Source organism: Homo sapiens, chromosome 3, assembly GCF_000001405.40.
Source record: "Homo sapiens chromosome 3, GRCh38.p14 Primary Assembly".
Lineage (NCBI taxonomy): Eukaryota > Metazoa > Chordata > Mammalia > Primates > Hominidae > Homo > Homo sapiens.
In genome coordinates, this window is record NC_000003.12 from 36921041 (window position 1) to 36939147 (window position 18107).

Consider the following 18107-nt stretch of genomic DNA (forward strand, 5'->3'; position numbering starts at 1 on the left):
GTCACCTGCTCCATCCTGACTCATCCTGGTTACCTGCTTTGACCTGAGTCACCCCCGGTCCCCTGTTCTGACCTAAGTCACCTTCGGTTACTTGTTCCATAACTGTCTTTCCTGCCAAACTGTTAACCCCACCACTCTGGCTCATACTCCTGCTCTCTTTAAAATAGCCAATTGGAATTAGCTTAGACTGTGCTGTCCAACCCTAGCCAATAGGGAAACAACACAGCAGTAGGGGCTACCTGCGACAGGAATAAGAATCCCTTCCCCTCCCCTGTCCAGGTGTGCTCTCACCATTACTCCATTCACGAGTCACATCCTCCTATAGAAGTAAAAATTGCCTTGCTGAGAAAATTAAATTTATGTTCCAGTGCTATTTCCTTGCGGCACCGAAAATTTATTTGTAACATTCTCACAGAATCAGAAGTAAGGGAGTAAGAGTACAGCTCTTTATCTCTCTGTAACACCATCCTAAGCACACTGGCTTTGTGCCCTCATGCTTGTCCCCTCAAGATTGAAGGTTGCTATAACTCCAGGCATCACATTAAAGACAGGAAGAAGGGGTCCCTGCAACCACTGGCTCCCTGGTACCACGTATCTCTTTCATAAAACTTTCCCAAAGCCCCCAAGTAGACTTCTCTACATTTCACTAGTCAGAAATAGGAATCTAGAAAAACATAAGTATGTGGCTCTATAATGGTAGGTGGCCAGGGAAGAGAATGTAGGTAGGAGCTGCTGGGTTTGCCAAACAACAGGGTGAGCTAGTACATATCCTTATTGTTTAAGTTAGGCTTTCTGTTACTTGTAACTAAAAGCACAGCAGGCCAGGTACGGTGGCTCACACCTTTAATCCCAAAACTTTAGAAGGCTGGGCTGGGAGGATTGCTTGAGCTTAGGAATTCCATACCAACCTAGGCAACACAGTGAGACCCCCATCTCTACAAAATAAAAATTAAAAAATTAGCCAAACATGGTGGCATGCACCTGTAGTTCCAGCTATTTGGGAAACTGAGGCTGAAGATCACTTGAGCCCTGAAGGTCAAGGCTGTGGTAAACCATGACTATGCCACTGCACTCCAGCCTGGGTGACAAAGTGAAACCCCATCTCAATAAAAATAATAATAATAATAAATAAAAAATGAAAGCAGGGCAATTAGCTCTGTGACAGTTACTATTCTATCTGGCTACTATTACTATTCTATCTGGAACATTCTGTCCAATGTGGTAACCACACATGGCTATTTACATTTTAATTTAACTAAAATTAAATACAATTAAAGGTTCAGGGCCGGGCGCAGTGGCTCACGCCTGTAATCCCAGCACTTTGGGAGGCCGAGGTGGGTGGATCACAAGGTCAGGAGTTGGAGACCAGCCTGGCCAATGTGGTGGAACCCTGTCTGTACCAAAAAATACAAAAATTAGCCGGGTGTGGTGGTGGGTGTCTGTAATCCCAGCTACTCAGGAGGCTGAGGCAGGAGAATCACTTGAAACCAGAAGGTGGAGGTTGCAGTGAGCCGAGATCATGCCACTGCACTGTAGCCTGGGTGAAAAAGTGAAACTCCATCTCAAAAAACAAAAATACAAAAAACATAGCTGGGTGTGGTGGCACACACCTGTAGTCCCAGCTACTCGGGAGGCTGAGGCAGGAGAATCGCTTAAACCCAGGAGGCAGAGGTTGCAGTGAGCCGAGATCACACCACTGCACTCCAGCCTGGGCGACAGAGCAAGACTCTGTCTCAAAAGAAAAAAAAAAAAAAATTAAAGGTTTAATTCCTCAATTCCTCAGTCACTCTAGCCACATTTCAAGTACTCCATAGTCATACGTGGCTAGTAGCTATCTTATCTGTGGAGTCCTAATTAGGAACAGGAAGTCACGCTGGCAGGGCCGAGGGAAAGCAACAACAGACATCAGATAAACTATAAGTCTGTCTTTCTTCATGGTCCAGGACACACAGTGCTCCTGTGCAAATAACTTACAATCTTCCATTGCCCAACTATCACCAGACACCTGCAAGTTAGCTCACTGCAACCTTAGTGTTTTATCAGCACTGCACGTAGCATTCTGCAGCCTAAGAACCATCCTATAAAATCCCCAGCAAGACTTTGTTTCCTGGCAGTCAGCTCCTCTTCTGCTGATTCTGACCGTTGCCCTCTTGTAACATATTTTCCTATTTTCTCTAATAAATCCACCCTTCTCCACCTACAACTGTCTTGGTAAATTTTTTTTTTTTTTTTGAGGTGGAGTCCCGCTCCAGTTGTGCAGGCTGGATTGCAGTGATACAATCTCGGCTCACTGCAACCTCCAACTCCCAGGTTCATGCAACTCTTCTGCCTCAGCCTCCCGAGTGGCTGGGATTACAGGCGTGCGCCACCACGCCCAGCTAATTGTTGTATTTTTAGTATAGACGGGGTTTCACCATGTTGCCCAGGCTGGTCTCGATCTCCTGACCTCAGGTGATCCACCTGCCTCGGCATCCCAAAGTGCTAGGATTACAGGTGTGAGCCACCGCGCCTGGCCTTGGTAAATTCTTTTACCCCCATGCCACCAGGATAGTCACTGCTCACCCACAACATTTTGGTGGCCTGTAGGGGGAACTCTCTCTGGACGGGAACTGTCCTCACAGGAAACTCTCTCCCCTCTCTCTTTCCCTTTCTCCAGTCAGCACCCTCCGAGAATAGCCTCTAAGCATGGAGGCAACTGCAGGTCTCCGGCAGGAGCTACACTCTGGTGGGACTGAAAGGTGACTGTGTGGAAGCATCTGACGGCCACTGCCCAGATTGGGTGAGGGACCTGGGTTCACTTACTCTTTTCAGTCTTTCAGCAGCTGGCTTCTTAACCATCCTGGTGCTCTCCAGTGCTGCCTGAAGGCCAAAGGGTGAACAGGGCTGGCTGCCTTGCCTGAAGGGAAGAAGACTCTCTCTCCTATCTGGCAGCAGAAGCTCATCCAGAGTGAATTCACACACGTTTGGGGTAACTCAGGTGCTCTCTTTCTCACTCTACATTCTCCTGTGGGGTCAGCCAGCCATCCTGTCTTGGACATTGCTAAATCAGGTGACCTCGGACAGCCTCAAAATGGTGAGGGTTCCCTTACCCACTCCCTCTCCTGGGCGGGCACCAGGTGAGATCACCCTTTACCCTTTTTTCCTCGTACCTGGGCTGATCACCCAGAGTGAGTACCTGGACTGGCCGTCCAGCGTTAAGGCCCCTAGCAGCCAAGTGCTCTTTTCTAATAGGTGGAACACCCCTTTGGAAAGTGCACCCAAAGTCCCTCAGCAGACACAAGTGGAACCCTCTTTTCATCTTGGCAGGATGTCCCAAGAGAAAGTGCAATTAGTGCCCTGAAGTGGCACCGCTCCCAAGCAGCATGTTTTCCAGTCCCACCATGGGACAAACCCCATCTATCCTTCAAACTCACCTCTGGGCTACATTCTAAAGCATTAAAACAAATTTAATTCTCAGACTCTCAAAAAAGAGAAATGTGTAATTTTCTTGTGTAACACAGCATAACCCTTATGCAAAAGAAATCATCAAATTAACTTCCTCAGTCTTTTATAACCAAGAGCAGAATAAGGAGAACAGGGCTAAAAAGAAAGACGCAGAGACAAAAACCAGGCTCAACTGTTGGCTGCTTCACAAGACCCCAGCCCCCTCCTCGTTGCCCTAAGGACACTCCTCCAGATAACTGCCACCGGTGCGAAAGGCCAGGCCACTAAAAGGCAAAGCACCTCAACTGAATAAATGAAAAAAAGTCCCACATGCTTGCCCCCTCTGCCACAAGCTTGGCCACTGGAAACAGGACTGCCCTGAGAGCCAAAGGAGCCCCCCCGGACAGAATCCCAAACCCCAGTGGCCTTAAGCTAAAGAGGCTCTCTGCTCCTGCTAAAAACAGCTCACCTTAACTGGTAACTTGCAGAGGTGAGGAAGAATTCATCTCACACCATAAAGGTCTGGGGTGCTAAGGCTCTCCCTGATGGGAGAGAAACAAGGGTGTTAGGGGTATTGGCCCCACACCATTCAGTGGCTGAAAGGGGGTAACCCAGGCACTCTCACACAAACTTTACAGGAGGCACACAAACTCTCCTGTAAAGTTTAACCTTTTCCTCTCTGTTCCTTTCTTTTTTCTTTTCCTGTTCAATCTAGGGGTCCAGATTGAAAAGATGGTTTCCAACATCCTAACCTCTGATTTTATTGTTCTTTTTAAAACTCCAGCTAGTTACATATTATGGCCTGTTTTGTGCACATTTTAAACTAATGGGCAAACTACAATAAGAAAAAGTCAGAGCTCAAATGGTTAACCTGCACCATAGGGTTAAGTAGAATCATCTAAAGTTCTCTATCTTCCTCTTTTTTTTCTGTCTGCTTTAAATTTACTGTTACCAAGTTGCTGGTGCTGAGATAAGACTCGTTATTTATGATCCAACTAGAATGTAAACATTGGAAACTCATTTAAAGTTAAAGAAAAAAAGGTAAAAGAAGTTTTGTTAAACAAAGAACCTAGAATTTTTTTAACCTTCCTTAAAAGTTAGTAAGTCCAATACCTCTTTTGAATCTTTCTTTTTTTTTTTTTTTTGAGACGGAGTCTCGCTCTGTCACCCAGGCTGGAGTGCAGTGGTGCAATCTCCGCTCACTGCAGCCTCTGCCTCTCGGGTTCAAGCAATTCTCCTGCCTCAGCCTCCCGAGTAGCTGGGACTACAGGCACACACCACCACACCCAGCTAATTTTTGTATTTTGAGATGGGGTTTCACCATGTTGGCCAGGATGGTCTTGATCTCCTGACCTCATGATCCACCCACCTTGGCCTCCCAAACTGTTGGGATTACAGACATGAGCCACTGTGCCCGGCCGTTGAATCTTATTCTTAAAGCTAACTCTTTTTATTCAGTTCTACTGCAGGCTCTCAGTAACTCTCCAACTACCTCTCTTAAGCAGCTTCACCCTCTTAATATTGATGCTTTTATAAGGGAAGTAGTATACAATTGCTATTTGCAAGGAAACTTCCAAGATTACTGCCCAGACAAAATTTCTTTATATTTGTCCCAGTAATGACATATACCCCCACACCACAACAACAATGTGCTGAGGTACTTTGCGTTTAACTGTTTTTCTTATACTCTTTACAGCCCTTCTTCTTTCCTGTCTTCCTGAGTTTCCTGTATATTGTCATTTTCCCTAAACATGGCTCTGTTTTTATTCGTCTATCATGGCTAACTATTGTCTCAATGGCTATACGCAGGCATCCACTCTACTCAGTAACATCACAGGTTGCTAACATAACACACAGCACTAACTGCTGGATGTGCCCTCGCAAACAAGCACTTGAGGATGACATTACACTCTTAGCAGTCCCATGATCTACAGAAGAAATTGTTAAGCCCAATACTCTGGATTAGACTATACCGTTTACATGCACACCAAAAACACAGGTCTAGGAGAGAGACCTGGGCCAATCGATCCCTCATGGCAATCATCCACCGTGACAAAGCAAATAGGGAAGGCACCAGAAATGGCCTGTAAGGCTCACCTCTGCATCAGAAACTCCAAGGGGTCTGGCCCTTTCCTAGGGGCTTTAACACAAGCCCATTATAGTTACATCATTAACTATAATCAAATGTACCAGGAATGGTAGCCAAACAACAACTCTAACGAGTTCACTGTGTACCTCTGCAGGTTTTCTCTATGGTTGGGAAACAACAAAGTTAATGCCAGCAAAATTTAGAGTGATTCCTTTATGCCTATAAATGGTTCAGCAAATGGGACAGAATACAGAGGAACAAGGGTCGAAACTGGGCAACTTCTTAACCTCACTAATATGTCTATATCTGTTCCTCAATTTTCCCTTATCCCATTAATATTTAAAAACCTTATTTGTCAGGCCAGGCCCCACTTCTCCTGCCTATAATAATGATTATACTAGTTTATTTGCACCTTGTATTGTTCATGAAATATCTTGTTTTGCGTCTTCTAGAATACAACTTCAAACCAAAATGTTACTGCAGCAAGGGTATCAGCCAGTAAAAGAACTAATGAATCCCCTTTGGAGCCAGCAGAACAAAATTTGAGGCTGCAAATGCTGTTCCCCTAAGGTCCCACAGCGACTCTGCCTAATTTAACTCCCAACCCAGGGACTGAGGCCCATGTAACCTCCTGACCGACTAACAATCCTAGGTAGGGCCAACTCTACGTCCCTGGTCAGCAAGAAGGTGAAGGTGAGACCTACACTCACATGCCAAAGATTTGTCATCGCTGCTCTGTCAGTGGAGGAATGTGGAGTCCTAATTGCAGAAAAGAAGTCAGGCTGGCAGGACCAAGGGAAAGCAAAAACAGACAACAGATAAGTTGTAAGTCTGCCTTTCTTCATGGTCCAGGACACATAGCCCTCCTGCACAAATAACTTACAATCTTCCTTCACCCAACTATCACCAGACACCTGCAAGTTAGCTCACTGCAACCTTGGTGTTTTATCAGAACTCCACGTAGCATTCTGCAGCCTAAGAACCATCCTATAAAATCCCCGGCAAGACTTTGTCTCCTGGCAGTCAGCTCCCATTTAGTTACTTGCTCTAATAAATCTGCCCTTCTTCACCTACAACTGTCTTGGGAAATTCTTTTCTCTGCACGCCACTGGCCCAGTGGTCGCTCACCCCCAACAATATTTGACAGTGCAGATCTAGAGAAAGTTTTGGAGAGTGCAGTTCCACATAGAATAATAAGCCAGATGCAACATCTCAAATATTATTTTTCTACTCAGTGGAAATTTAGCCTTCAATTCTTGTGTGTGAGAGTATGAGGGCTGTTTCCCCAAATTTTGGAGTGCCCCAGGAGTTGGGTATGTCCATGCTCCATCCTATTCCCACCTCAGAGAATCATGCTGTCTTTCTAGCCTGCACAAATCTAAGACATAAGATGAATATCTGCAGTCAGGAACTAAATTCTCGTGGAATTACTTCTGTGGTGCATTTTGATATAGAATGTGGGGTCACAGGTTGTGATGAGCAAACCCAGCCCATATCTCTCCAAGCATTCCCTGATTAGTGCCCACAGTATTACAACTGGAAACTAGTTTCTTGCCCCATAGCTCCCACATAAATACATTAATTTTAAGTTTCTATCTACTTGTTCCCTTGAAAACTAGAGCAAAGGCCTGCAAAACCAAGGTACGCCCAATAAAACCGCCGTTGACCTTGCAAAGCAAAAATGAAGAAAAATTTCTGACATGATTTCATGAAGCAACGTGGTTTTTTGTTTGTGAAGGGAATGGGGAAAAAGTCTTTTTTTCTACAGATCTGATCCCTATTTGACTAGCTGTTGAGAATTTTCAATACAGCCAACTTTAAAGTCCTGTTTCCCTTGATATTCATATTAGGACTTCACTCACCACACACTGACTCACTCTTGTCCCTTCACCAACCAGTACTTCAAAAGATGCTTTTCATTAAATTCTTCATTACACATGGAACATTTCACTATGGGAGAAAAGCAGAAGCAGGACTCCTGGGAAGTTTAATTACACTAATACTGCTTTATGACTTGATGTTTACAGGCTTAAATTAATACAGGACTAAAATAACTTGTATCTCTGTGACCTGAGGATATAGACACAGATTTTCAAAGAAAAACCAAGGTAATAAGAAGAACATTAATTTTGAAAAGTATACATGTAATTCTCATAGGAGCATTTTTTAAAAGCTCCTTACAAAATATGAACTAATGTCCTTATATTTTCAAGACTTATATGGAGAAAAAACAAAACTTTACTTAAAAAAAAAGTATTTTTAAAATACTAACATGTTTCTGGTTTGGGCAAATTCACTATTATAAAATGTCAAGTCCTCCCATGTTAATGAATTAATGTATATTTTCAGCAAAATTTCAATTTATAAAAAATAAAATGTTTAAAGAAATTAATGAAGCAGCTGTCAAGGTTATCTAAAAGAACACATAAGCCAGAATTGCAAAGATATTTTTAATAAAAAGAGAAGTATCAAGAGGGAATCTTCTTCCAGGTGAGGCTTAAAGGATAAAAGTAAATCAAATAAAACAAATAAATAAAAGAGTAGAAAAGGGAATCTTCTCTAACATTTTAAAATACATATTTATAAAACATTAATTTTTTTTTTTTTTTTGAGATGGAGTCTTACTCCATTGCCCAGGTTGGAGAGCAGTGGCAAGACCTTGGCTCACTGCAACCTCTGCCTCCTGGGCTCAAGCAATTCTGCCTCAGCCTCCTGAGTAGCTGGGATTACAGGCACGCACTGCCACACCTGGCTGGTCTCACCATGTTGGCCAGGCTGGTTTCAAACTCCTGATCTCAAGCAATCCACCTGCCTCGGCCTCCCAAAGTGCTGAGATTACAGGCGTGAGTGACCGCCACCGGGCCTATAAAACATTAAATTGTTAAAGTCAGGTACTAACATGAAAGTAAGCACATCAATGGAACAAAGTAGAATATCCAGCAATAAATATATATAGTATAAAAAGCAGAAACACATGCCATATGTAATAAAAGTGGCTTTTTAAGTAAATTGAAAAAGAGTGAATCATTTGGTACAACTCACTAAACATCTGGAAAATAAGTTAAATTCCTACTTCACCCCATGTGGCAGGCCAAGTAATGAATTCCCCCAAAGACATCCAGATCCCTATCCCCAGAAACTATGAATATATTACATTACATGGTAAAAGGAAGTTTACCGATGTAATTATCATTACAGACCATAAGCTAGGGATACTATCCCTGGATTATCAGGGTGAGCGCAATCTAATGACAAGAACTCTTTGACTGTGGCCCTGTGGCCAGAGTCAGACAGGCTCATGGAAAGACGAGGGCAAGGGAGATGCAGCAGATTGTTGTTGTTGTTGTTGTTGTTGTTGTTGTTGTTGTTTTGAGACGGAGTTTCACTCTTGTTGCCCAGGCTGGAGTGCAATGGCACAATCTCAGCTCACTACAACCTCAGCCTCCCAAGTAGCTGGGATTACAGGCATGTGCCACCACACCCGGCTAACTTTTTTTTGTATTTAGTAAAGACGGGGTTTCACCATGGTCAGGCTGGTCTCAAACTCCTGATGTCAGGTGATCCACCTGCCTCTGCCTCCCAAAGTGCTGGGATTATAGGCATGAACCACTTTGCCCAGCTGAGATGCAGCAGATTTGAAGCATGAAAAGGAGTGGGCCCATCACTGCAGGCCTTGAAGGCGGAGCGGGGAGGAGTGATGAGGAACGTGGGTCACCTTAAGGAACAGAGGCTCCCAGCTGACGGTAAGAAAATGGGGACCTGAGTCTTACACCTACCAGGAACTGGATCCTGCCAACAACATGAGTGAGTCTGGAAGCAGGGGGTCTTTGCAGACTTTCCCGGTAGGAACTCAGCCAGCCAACATCTTGGTTTTCGCCATGTGAAACCAGCCAAGCTAGCCCACACTTCTAACCTATGGACTGTGAGATAATAAATTCATGTTGTTTTAAGCCACTAAGTTTGTGGTCATTCATTATGGCAGCAATAGGAAACTAATATACATCATACACCAAAATTAGTTCCAAATGAATAAAAAAAGTCAGTGTGAAAATGATACCACAGCAATAAAAGGAACAAATTGCTGATAAAAACAGCAACATGAAGAATCTCAAAAAGTTTATGTTGAGCAAAAGAAGCCAGACAAAAGAACATAAACTGTGTGATTCCATTTACATGACATTCTATAACAGGCAAATCTAAGAAATCAGAACAGTGATTGCCAAAAAAAGAGAGGGGGACTGACTGGAAAGGGGTATCAGTGAACTTTCTGGAAGAATGGAAATGTGTATTTTGACATTGTGGTGGTGGCCACACAGGTGCATATGTTTGTTAAAACTCACTGAGCAGTAACTTAAAATCTGTGCTGTTTATTACATGCAAATATCTCATTTTTTAAAAAGCACCGAGAAAAAGAAAAGCACTAACAGAAAATATAGGTACAGATTTTAGATAATCTTCAACCACTCTAGGAAGACATTCAGCAATACCTAACAAAGTGACACATACATATGGCCTTTGAAGCAGCAACTGACTCTACTTCTGGGAATGGATCTTACAGACTGACTGCATACATTGGAAATGGCAAATGTGTAAGATTATTCACTATCATGTTGCTGTAATAATAAAAGACTAGGACCAACTTTAAGACCCATCAACAGGGGACTGATTCAATAAATTAAAGTGCAGCACCCCCCCAAAAAACAAAATATTAAGTGTTAAAAAAAAAAGAATGAAGACAGTTCTGTATATTGATCTAGGATAACCTCCAAAATATATTTGAAAAAGCAAATGCAGAACAGTGTTTATATTACATTCCCTTTTGTACAGAAAGGAAGAGAGGGGCTGAATAAGAATATCTATTAATATTTGCAACCAAGTACAGTGGCTCATGCTTGTAATCCCAGCACTCTGGGGAACCAAGGCAGGTGGATCACTTGAGCCCAGGAGTTCCAGACCAGCCTGGGCAACACAGTGAGACCTCATCTCTACAAAAAATGCAAAAATTAGCTGGGCATGGTGGCACGCACCTATAGTCCCAACTACTCAAGAGGCTGAGGCAGAAGGATCACTTGAGCCCAGGTCAAGGCTGCAGTTAGCCATGATCATGCCACTGCACTACAGGCTGGACAACACAGCAAGACCCTGTCACAAAAAGAAAGAAAGAAAGAAAGAATATACATTTGCATTTGCTTATATATGCATAAAGAAATTCTGGGCCAGGTGTGGTGGCTCACACTTGTAATCCCAGCACTCTGGGAGGCCAAGGTGGGAGGATCACTTAAGTTTAGGAGTTTGAGGTTACAGTGAGCTATGATTGCACCGCTGCACTGCAGCCTAGGTGACAGAGCAGGAAAATCTGTCTCTTAAAAAAAAATCTGGAAGGATCCCCTAGAAATAAAATTATTTACCCTTATTGGGAGGGTGGGGCAGAGAACACAGGAGAGAGACTTTTCTTCATAACCTTTTTATATATTGTTAGATTCTTGAATTACATAAATTCAAAAGAGCTTTAGTGCAGTTTTATGTAATCTTCACATTTGAGGTCATTCTAATGATACCAAAAGCAGAAATCATAAAAAAAGTAACAGACATGAATCCATGAAAATTACAAACTCCTATATATCGAAAGGCACTGAAAATACTTTAAATCAACATGGTTATGCGTAGAGATTCACTGACATACTGCCATGGCGGATAAAGCAGTACAGCATCTGTCTATAGAAATGTTAAATGCACAGCAGAGTGCAGTGGCTCACGCCTGTAATCCCAGCACTTTGGGAGGTGGAGGTGAGTGGATCACTTGAGATCAGGAGTTCGAGACCAGCCTGGCCAATGTGGTGAAACCCCGTCTCTACTAAAAATGCAAAACTAGCCAGGTGTGGTGCCTGTAATCCCAGCTACTCGGGAGCCTAAGGCAGGAGAATCGCTTGAACCTGGGAGGTGGAGGTCGCAGTGAGCCGAGATCGCACCACTGCACTCCAGCCTAGGCAACAGAGCGAAACTCCAACTCAAACAAACAAACACGCACACACAAAAAGTATGAGTTAGAGCTATCAGAGTGTCAAAATATGCAATTAAAGTGAATAAAGCAAACTGGAGAGCAATTTGGAGAGCAACTTAGAGAACGAGTTGAAGAGCTTAAGGATGTATGTGTGTGTGTACATTTCATCTATAGAGAGATTTCTGACTTAACAAACTAATAAGAGCAGTGATCTTTGGGGAGCAGATCTGGGAATGGGAAGATTGCTACTGAACTATGAGAGAGTACATTTTTCTGTTGTTTTAGGTCAGCTAATTTGTGGTAGTTTGTTTTTGCAGCCCTAAGAAACTAATACACCACCACTGAATATATTCACAGAATCATATAAATAGAAAAAATGCAATAAAGTGTGGGATATGATGAGGTTTCTCTTCAAATAGCTTGATCAATCCTTTATTCTTTAATTCATAGTACCCCCAAACCCCTTTTTCTCTTTTTTTCTTCCTTTCTGTCTTTGTTACATGTCCAGACATGCCACAGTACCAGGCGTTATCAGTACTAGCTCACATTCCTTTCCTTATTTGGAAATGCTCTCTAGCTCATTGCAGACACCCCTTCCCCTTTCCCCTCTCTCCCTTATGTGCCCACCTTATCTTTAAAAAGTTCAAATGTTTAGCCAACCGGGATTAGTTTAGAATTTACGGCCTGAACCCAGCCAATGGGGAAAGGGTACAGGCGCACTTGCTTCAGGAATAAAGGCTCTCGTGCCCCTTTGTTCAGGTGTGCTGTCATGGCGACTGGCCAAGGAGGCACCCCTCTGCGCAAAGTAAAATTGCTTTGCTAAGAATCCTCTGTTTGAGTGTTCAATCTCCTTAGGATTTTGAATGTTATTCCCAACAAAAGTGAGATGATTGGACTACAATTTCTAGAGCAAGGAACCCAAAGCTCAGAGATTAGGGGGCCTTGAGCCAGGCCACACAGCAGTGAGCACCAGAGGTGAAACCCAGGCTTATCTCCTAGCATCCACCCCAGCACCCTGGTCCACACTACCTGTCACCTGCCATTTCTGGGTGGGCAGGAAAGACAGGCCTAGATCCCAGGGCTTGCTTCTGGTTCATGATGTTTCAGGTTAATGGGATATGGGCCATGGTGATCCCTGCATGTTATTTGAGTGTAATCCCTGCAACATTTACAGAACCTTTGCTTTGTTTACCCAGTGAGGAGAAAATATTTGGTAAAAACATAGCCCTAGTATTTGTCTGTTTTTCAAAGGGGTTCCCTGAAATTACTAATCAATTAAGCAGCTACAGCTGAGAAAGTCTGTGGGACTCAAGACCTTGCCCCACTTCCCAAGCTAAGATAGGCTGTGAGGATGAGGCATGGGACAGGTCAGCACTGTGATGTCTGGAAATAGCCCCAACTCTTTCCACTGTGATTGTTCCTTTAGGAAACAGGGCACTTGCTCAGGGGCCCTAAGAAACCCTTTTCAGCTGGAGGGCAATGTCACCATGGTAGGCATGCTCTAGATGGCTGCTCAGCTCACTGCAAAGGCCTTCCAGGGGAGAGCCAAGGTACACAGAGGCAGGCCAGGGCCTTGTGTGTGCTCCATGGGCCAGACCTGCCAGGACAAGGCCCTTTCCTGGGAGTTTCTTAACTAGAACTTTGGGAAGAGTCCCCTTGTGTTGGAAACTGAGATAGGAGGCTCCAGAGGGTTGCAGCCTTACTTCCTACCCTGAGAAGAAGCCAATTTCTGGGGTAAAAGAATATAATGCCTGTGCCCAGAGAAAAGAAAGGCAGAAAGCGGGGCTCCTACAGCCCCCAAATTCCACATCCCATTGCCCTGAGGCCCAGCTGCTGCCTACCCCTTCCTTGGTTACTAAGCACCCTTCAGGAACTTTCCTCCTTCTGTCTAAATCGTTTGAGTTGTTTTTTCTCTCATTCATTAAAAACGAGGGAAGCAAGGAAAAGTGACCTGCCTGTTTCATCCTTCTCTACAGCTGCACATTAGACAAGGGTCTATAATACCAGGGGTGTCCTACCCTCACCCCGCCCTGGGTATCTCTGGTCACAGTATTCCTTCCTGTAGTACCTGACAAGGCCTCGGAATCCTTTGTGAAACATTCATTCCAGGTGGCCACAAGTTCACGCCCCAGATGAATCCTATGTGCCATTCCCAGTTTACATGACAACAAAGACTTGAGCCAAAAATCAACTTGTGCATTTAAGCACAAGCATCCAGAATGTCCTAACTAGAAAACAACAAGCCAAAGACACACAGTCAGCTGTTCTCGAGCTCATTCCCAGCTTGCCTCCCTTAGGAGGCATGCAGGCCCCAGAATAGCTATCCCTGAGTTGGGTTCACACACACCCTCCAGAGGTATCTTCCTTGCCAGGCTGGATTACTGCAAAATTGGCCTTTTCATTGCTCTCCCTGGCCCACCCTCACCCAGCTCCAGCATGGCCTCTTCACCACAATCTGTAAGACAGTCCCCAAGACCATCAGATCATGTGCTATGTGTCCAGATTAAAAAAGACCCCAAGATCACCCAGGCCCCCAACCCCATCTGCCTCCCAGCACAATTTCTATGAACATCAGCTCTTCCCCAAGGGACTTGCAGATTCTCTGGGCCTTTCTCCCTCCCTCCACTTTAACCCCCTCCAAACCTCATGGTCTCCCTGCATGCCCACCCCGGGAGGGTGAGGGGCCACAGTCACTGCTGCTGCTCTTAACACACCTCTATAAGGTCCTGTGTGTAGCTTTTATACCACTTAATCCCCTGAATTATGATTTACTCGTTCTTTTGCCATATATTTCCCACCCTGCCTCTATGTTTGGGGCACTGTGCTGGTCTCGACAGCTCTGTGCCAGACACTAATTTGTTTTACTGCTTTCCCTAGAAGATGCCTGAATTCTTTTTTTTTTTTTTTTTTTTTTGAGATGGAGTTTTGCTCTCGTTGCCCAGGCTGGAATGCAATGGCGCAATCTCAACTCACTGCAACCTCTGTCTCCCGGGTTCAAGTGATTCTCCTGTCTCAGCCTCCCGAGTAGCTGGGATTACAGGCACATGTCACCACACTCAGCTATTTTTGTATTTTTAGTAGAGATGTGGCTTCATGTTGGTCAGGCTGGTCTTGAACTCCTTACCTGAGGTGATCCGCCCATCTCGGCTTTCCAAAGGGCTGGGATTACAGGCGTGAGTCACCGCACACGGCCAAAGCCTGAATTCTTAAGGCAAAAACTAAGTCTTAGTAAGTCTTACTATTTCTGCAACCCAAGGGCTCAGCATTTGTTGCATGAATAAATGATTCTCTGGCCACTTCTTACTTATCAGAGGCAGATGATTAAGCTAGAGGACTAGAAAAGGAATAAAAGTTTGGGAGATTTAATTCAAACTAGATTATTTCACTGGTGGTATTGGATTTCTGGCCATTTCCCATAAAGCCAGGTGGTTTTGTTACTTGGGGAAAACAAAGGGAAAAGGTGTATACAAATTAATAAGCACCTGTTGAGAATCTAATGGTCAGCAAACAAGGTAACATATCCCCGTGAGCAATTCTAGTCCTGGAGATTCGAAAATGCTAAAAGCTAAGAACAATCCTGGAGGATCAGTAATTCCTAGCTTTTTGGAACTGGAAAACAGTAGCATTTGCACGCACAAAAAAAGAAAAGGGATAGGTGTGGTGGGCCACGCCTGTAATCCCAGCACTTCGGGAGGCCAAAGTGGAAGGATGGCTTGAGTCCAGGAATTCAATACCAGCCTGGGCAACATAGCGAGATCACATCTCTACAAAAAAATTAAAAGTTAGCCAGGCATGGTGGTGTATGCCTGTAGTCCCAGCTACTCAAGAGGCTTAGGTGAGAGGATCATTTGAGACGGAAGAGGTCAAGCCTGCAGTGAGCTGTGATCACACCACTGCACTCCAGCCTGGGTGACAGAGTGAGATCCTCTGTCTCAAAAAAAGAAAAAAAAAAAAGGAAATTGAAGGGAATCTAAGATAGGGTTGCCAACACTTAATTTTGCCAAAAAAGAACTTTTTTAAAAAGTACCAACTACGCCCCAATAATTTCACAAAAGGAGGAACATTTTAACTCCAAAAAAAAAGGATGAAGAGTGTAAACTCAGGCTAAAAACAGCCATTCTCGAGGAAGGATGAGCTGAGAGCCTCGCCCCACATTTTAGTCATGGACAGCGTGCAGATGAGATGGGCCTTGAAAGACAGATGATGGTTCCAACTCCCTAAAACCAAGCCAGGAAAATGCTCAAGAAATACTGCTAAAGGGCAGACAGGACGGCATGATGGCTCACGCCTGTAATCCCAGCACTTTGGGAGACTGAGGCGGGTGGATCACCTGAGGTCAGAAGTTCGAGACTGGCCTGGCCAACATGATGAAATCCTGTCTCTACTAAAAATACAAAAATTAGCCAGGCATGGGCACATGTCTGTAATCACAGCTACTCTGGAGGCTGAGGGAGAATTGCTTGAGCCCGGGAGGCGGAGGTTGCAGTGAGCCGAGATCATGCCACTGCACTCCAGCCTGGGTGACAGAGCTAGGTTCCGTCTCAAAAAATATATAAATAAATAAATGGCAAAGACAGATCAATTTCAACTTCTGGGTCTGAAATGGAGTCTCAGTCATTCAACCTCCAAAGAGGAGACCCTAAGCCATCCCTCCCTTTGTGTAGCTAGTGGTAGACACATGATTTCTCCTCAGTGTGCCACAGGCTATTGTTTTTCCAGATCATTATTTGGATGAATAGTTTAAGGCAGCTGCATGATAACAAGTAAAGTGTATTCAGCACTTACTATGTGCCCAGCCCTGTCCTAAACCCATCTCAAGCATCTTCTCACTGAATGTCTTTAAGAATGCCAGGAGGTACAAATATCCCAATTTCACAGATCAGGAAATAGATTTACACAAAATGAAGGGACTTCTCCAAGCAAGGAACAAACTTAAGTCTGATATAAAAATCTGTGTTAACAACCCATAGGACAGAAGAGGTGTACAAAGAGTAAAGATTATTGGGAAAATCAGAAAAGGGGCCTTTAAAACTAAAATCAAATTCCTGCAAAAGCCAGCCCAAAGAATAACCAATAAGTTAGCATTCCACAATGTCTCAAGACAAATGATTTAGTTAAGCATCAGCCAACCACAGATTACTCATAAATCTTGACTTAGGTATCTGTGCTAGGCCTAGGCTGCCCAATAACTGCCATTTTTCCTTCATGGCCCCCATTGTTTATGCAGAGTGTCCCAGGAACTATGAAGTTGGGAGCAGCCCCGAAAAGGGAGTACACCAGGCACTCCAGTGACAGCCATTAAACAAAGATGTTTTCTAATCAAAGGAGAACTTGGGCTTTGATAATAGCAGCCCAGGCATCTCCCCACCCAGAACCTTCTCCAAGCCTCTATGTAGCATTTAAATGCTAACTAATGCCCTTCATTCCACCTCCCAACCCCAAGACCACAGCAATTTGCTTCCTCCTCAATCTGAGGGGCAAGTCAAACCCAGCAGAGAGGTGAAAACACCGTTCACTGCTGCATGGGGAGGGTCTGGAGGTGTCCAGGAGCTCCCCGTAGACAAAACAATCTCCCATGGACAAGGACATCTGAAGGGTGGCCCCTTAACAGCACTGGGAGAATCGGAGTTCTAGCCTCTGGGTTTTTTTGTTTGTTTGTTTGTTTTGTTTTTTTTGTTTTTTTGAGAGGGAGTCTCTCTCTGTCACCCAGGCTGGAGTGCAGTGGCCTGGTCTCGGCTCACTGCAACCTCCGCCTCCTGGGTTCAAGCAATTCTCCAGCCTCAGCCTCCTGAGTAGCTGGGATTACAGGCGCCCGCCACCATGCCCAGCTAATTTTTGTATTTTTAGTAGAGACAGGGTTTCACCATGTTGGCCAGGCTGGTCTCAAACTCCTGACCTCATGATCCACCCACCTCAGCCTCCCAAAGTGCTGGGATTACAGGCGTGAGCCACCAGGCCCAGCCATTCTAGCCTCTGTTCTAACACTAGTTCATAGTTTCCTGACACATACATAGAGACTTGAACTTTACCTTGAAAAAACTGTGGACTTTGGCCAGGCTGAAAGATGTATTTATCCACACTCCCAGCCTCCAGAGTCAAAACTTCTAAATAAAACACAGAGCTGGCCGGGTGTGATAGCTCACACCTGTAATCCCAGCACTCTGGGAGGCCGAGGTGGGAGGATTGCCTGAGCTCAGCAGTTCGAGACCAGCCTGGAAAACATGGTGAAATCTGATTTCTACCAAAATACAAAAAATTTAGCGGAGGGTGGTGGCGCGTGCCTATAGTCCCAGCTACTCAGGAGGCTGAGGCAGGAGAATCACTTGAGCCCAGGAGGCAGAGGCTGCAGTGAGCCTAGATCGTGCCACCAAACTCCAGCCTGGGCAACAGAGCGAGAATCCGTCTCAAAAAAAAAAAATACAAAAATACAAAAATTAGTCGGGTGTTGTGACACATGCTGGTAATTGCAGCTTCTTGAGAGTCTGAGGCAGGAGAATCGCTGGAACCCAGGAGGTGGAGGATGCAGTGAGCTGAGACCGCACCACTGTACTCCAGCGTGGGCAACAGAGCGAAACCCTGTCTCATAAATAAATA

The 18107-nt window shown here is 44.5% G+C and overlaps 1 protein-coding gene across 11 annotated transcripts in view, besides 3 other annotated features; it reads right to left on the reverse strand.

Annotated features, from left to right (window-relative positions):
• Positions 1 to 18107, reverse strand: part of TRANK1 (tetratricopeptide repeat and ankyrin repeat containing 1) — a 118926-nt gene that overhangs the window by 94222 nt on the left and 6597 nt on the right. Inside the window, exon 2 of one of the 11 annotated variants that reach the window (XM_047449325.1) lies at positions 9289 to 9432. The exons of 8 other annotated variants lie outside the window; for them this stretch is intronic. In XM_047449325.1, coding sequence (XP_047305281.1) covers positions 9289 to 9314 — 26 coding nt within the window. In that variant the 5' untranslated portion in view covers positions 9315 to 9432. Of the gene's footprint in view, positions 1 to 3892; positions 4028 to 9288; positions 10366 to 18107 lie in introns of those variants that run through there. 2 more of the 11 variants (XM_011534289.3, XM_047449327.1) reach the window with 2 other exon arrangements.
• Positions 2458 to 2959: an enhancer, noted in NCBI's record as "H3K27ac hESC enhancer chr3:36964989-36965490 (GRCh37/hg19 assembly coordinates)". NCBI's record gives its function as "activates a minimal SCP1, AML or CMV promoter by ChIP-STARR-seq in primed H9 embryonic stem cells {active_cell/tissue: H9 hESC(primed)}" and the evidence as "EXISTENCE:reporter gene assay evidence [ECO:0000049][PMID:30033119]".
• Positions 2960 to 3459: an enhancer, noted in NCBI's record as "H3K27ac hESC enhancer chr3:36965491-36965990 (GRCh37/hg19 assembly coordinates)". NCBI's record gives its function as "activates a minimal SCP1, AML or CMV promoter by ChIP-STARR-seq in primed H9 embryonic stem cells {active_cell/tissue: H9 hESC(primed)}" and the evidence as "EXISTENCE:reporter gene assay evidence [ECO:0000049][PMID:30033119]".
• Positions 17418 to 17712: a silencer, noted in NCBI's record as "tiled region #3248; K562 Repressive non-DNase unmatched - State 8:EnhW". NCBI's record gives its function as "represses a minimal TATA promoter and a strong SV40 promoter by Sharpr-MPRA in K562 cells {active_cell/tissue: K562}" and the evidence as "EXISTENCE:reporter gene assay evidence [ECO:0000049][PMID:27701403]".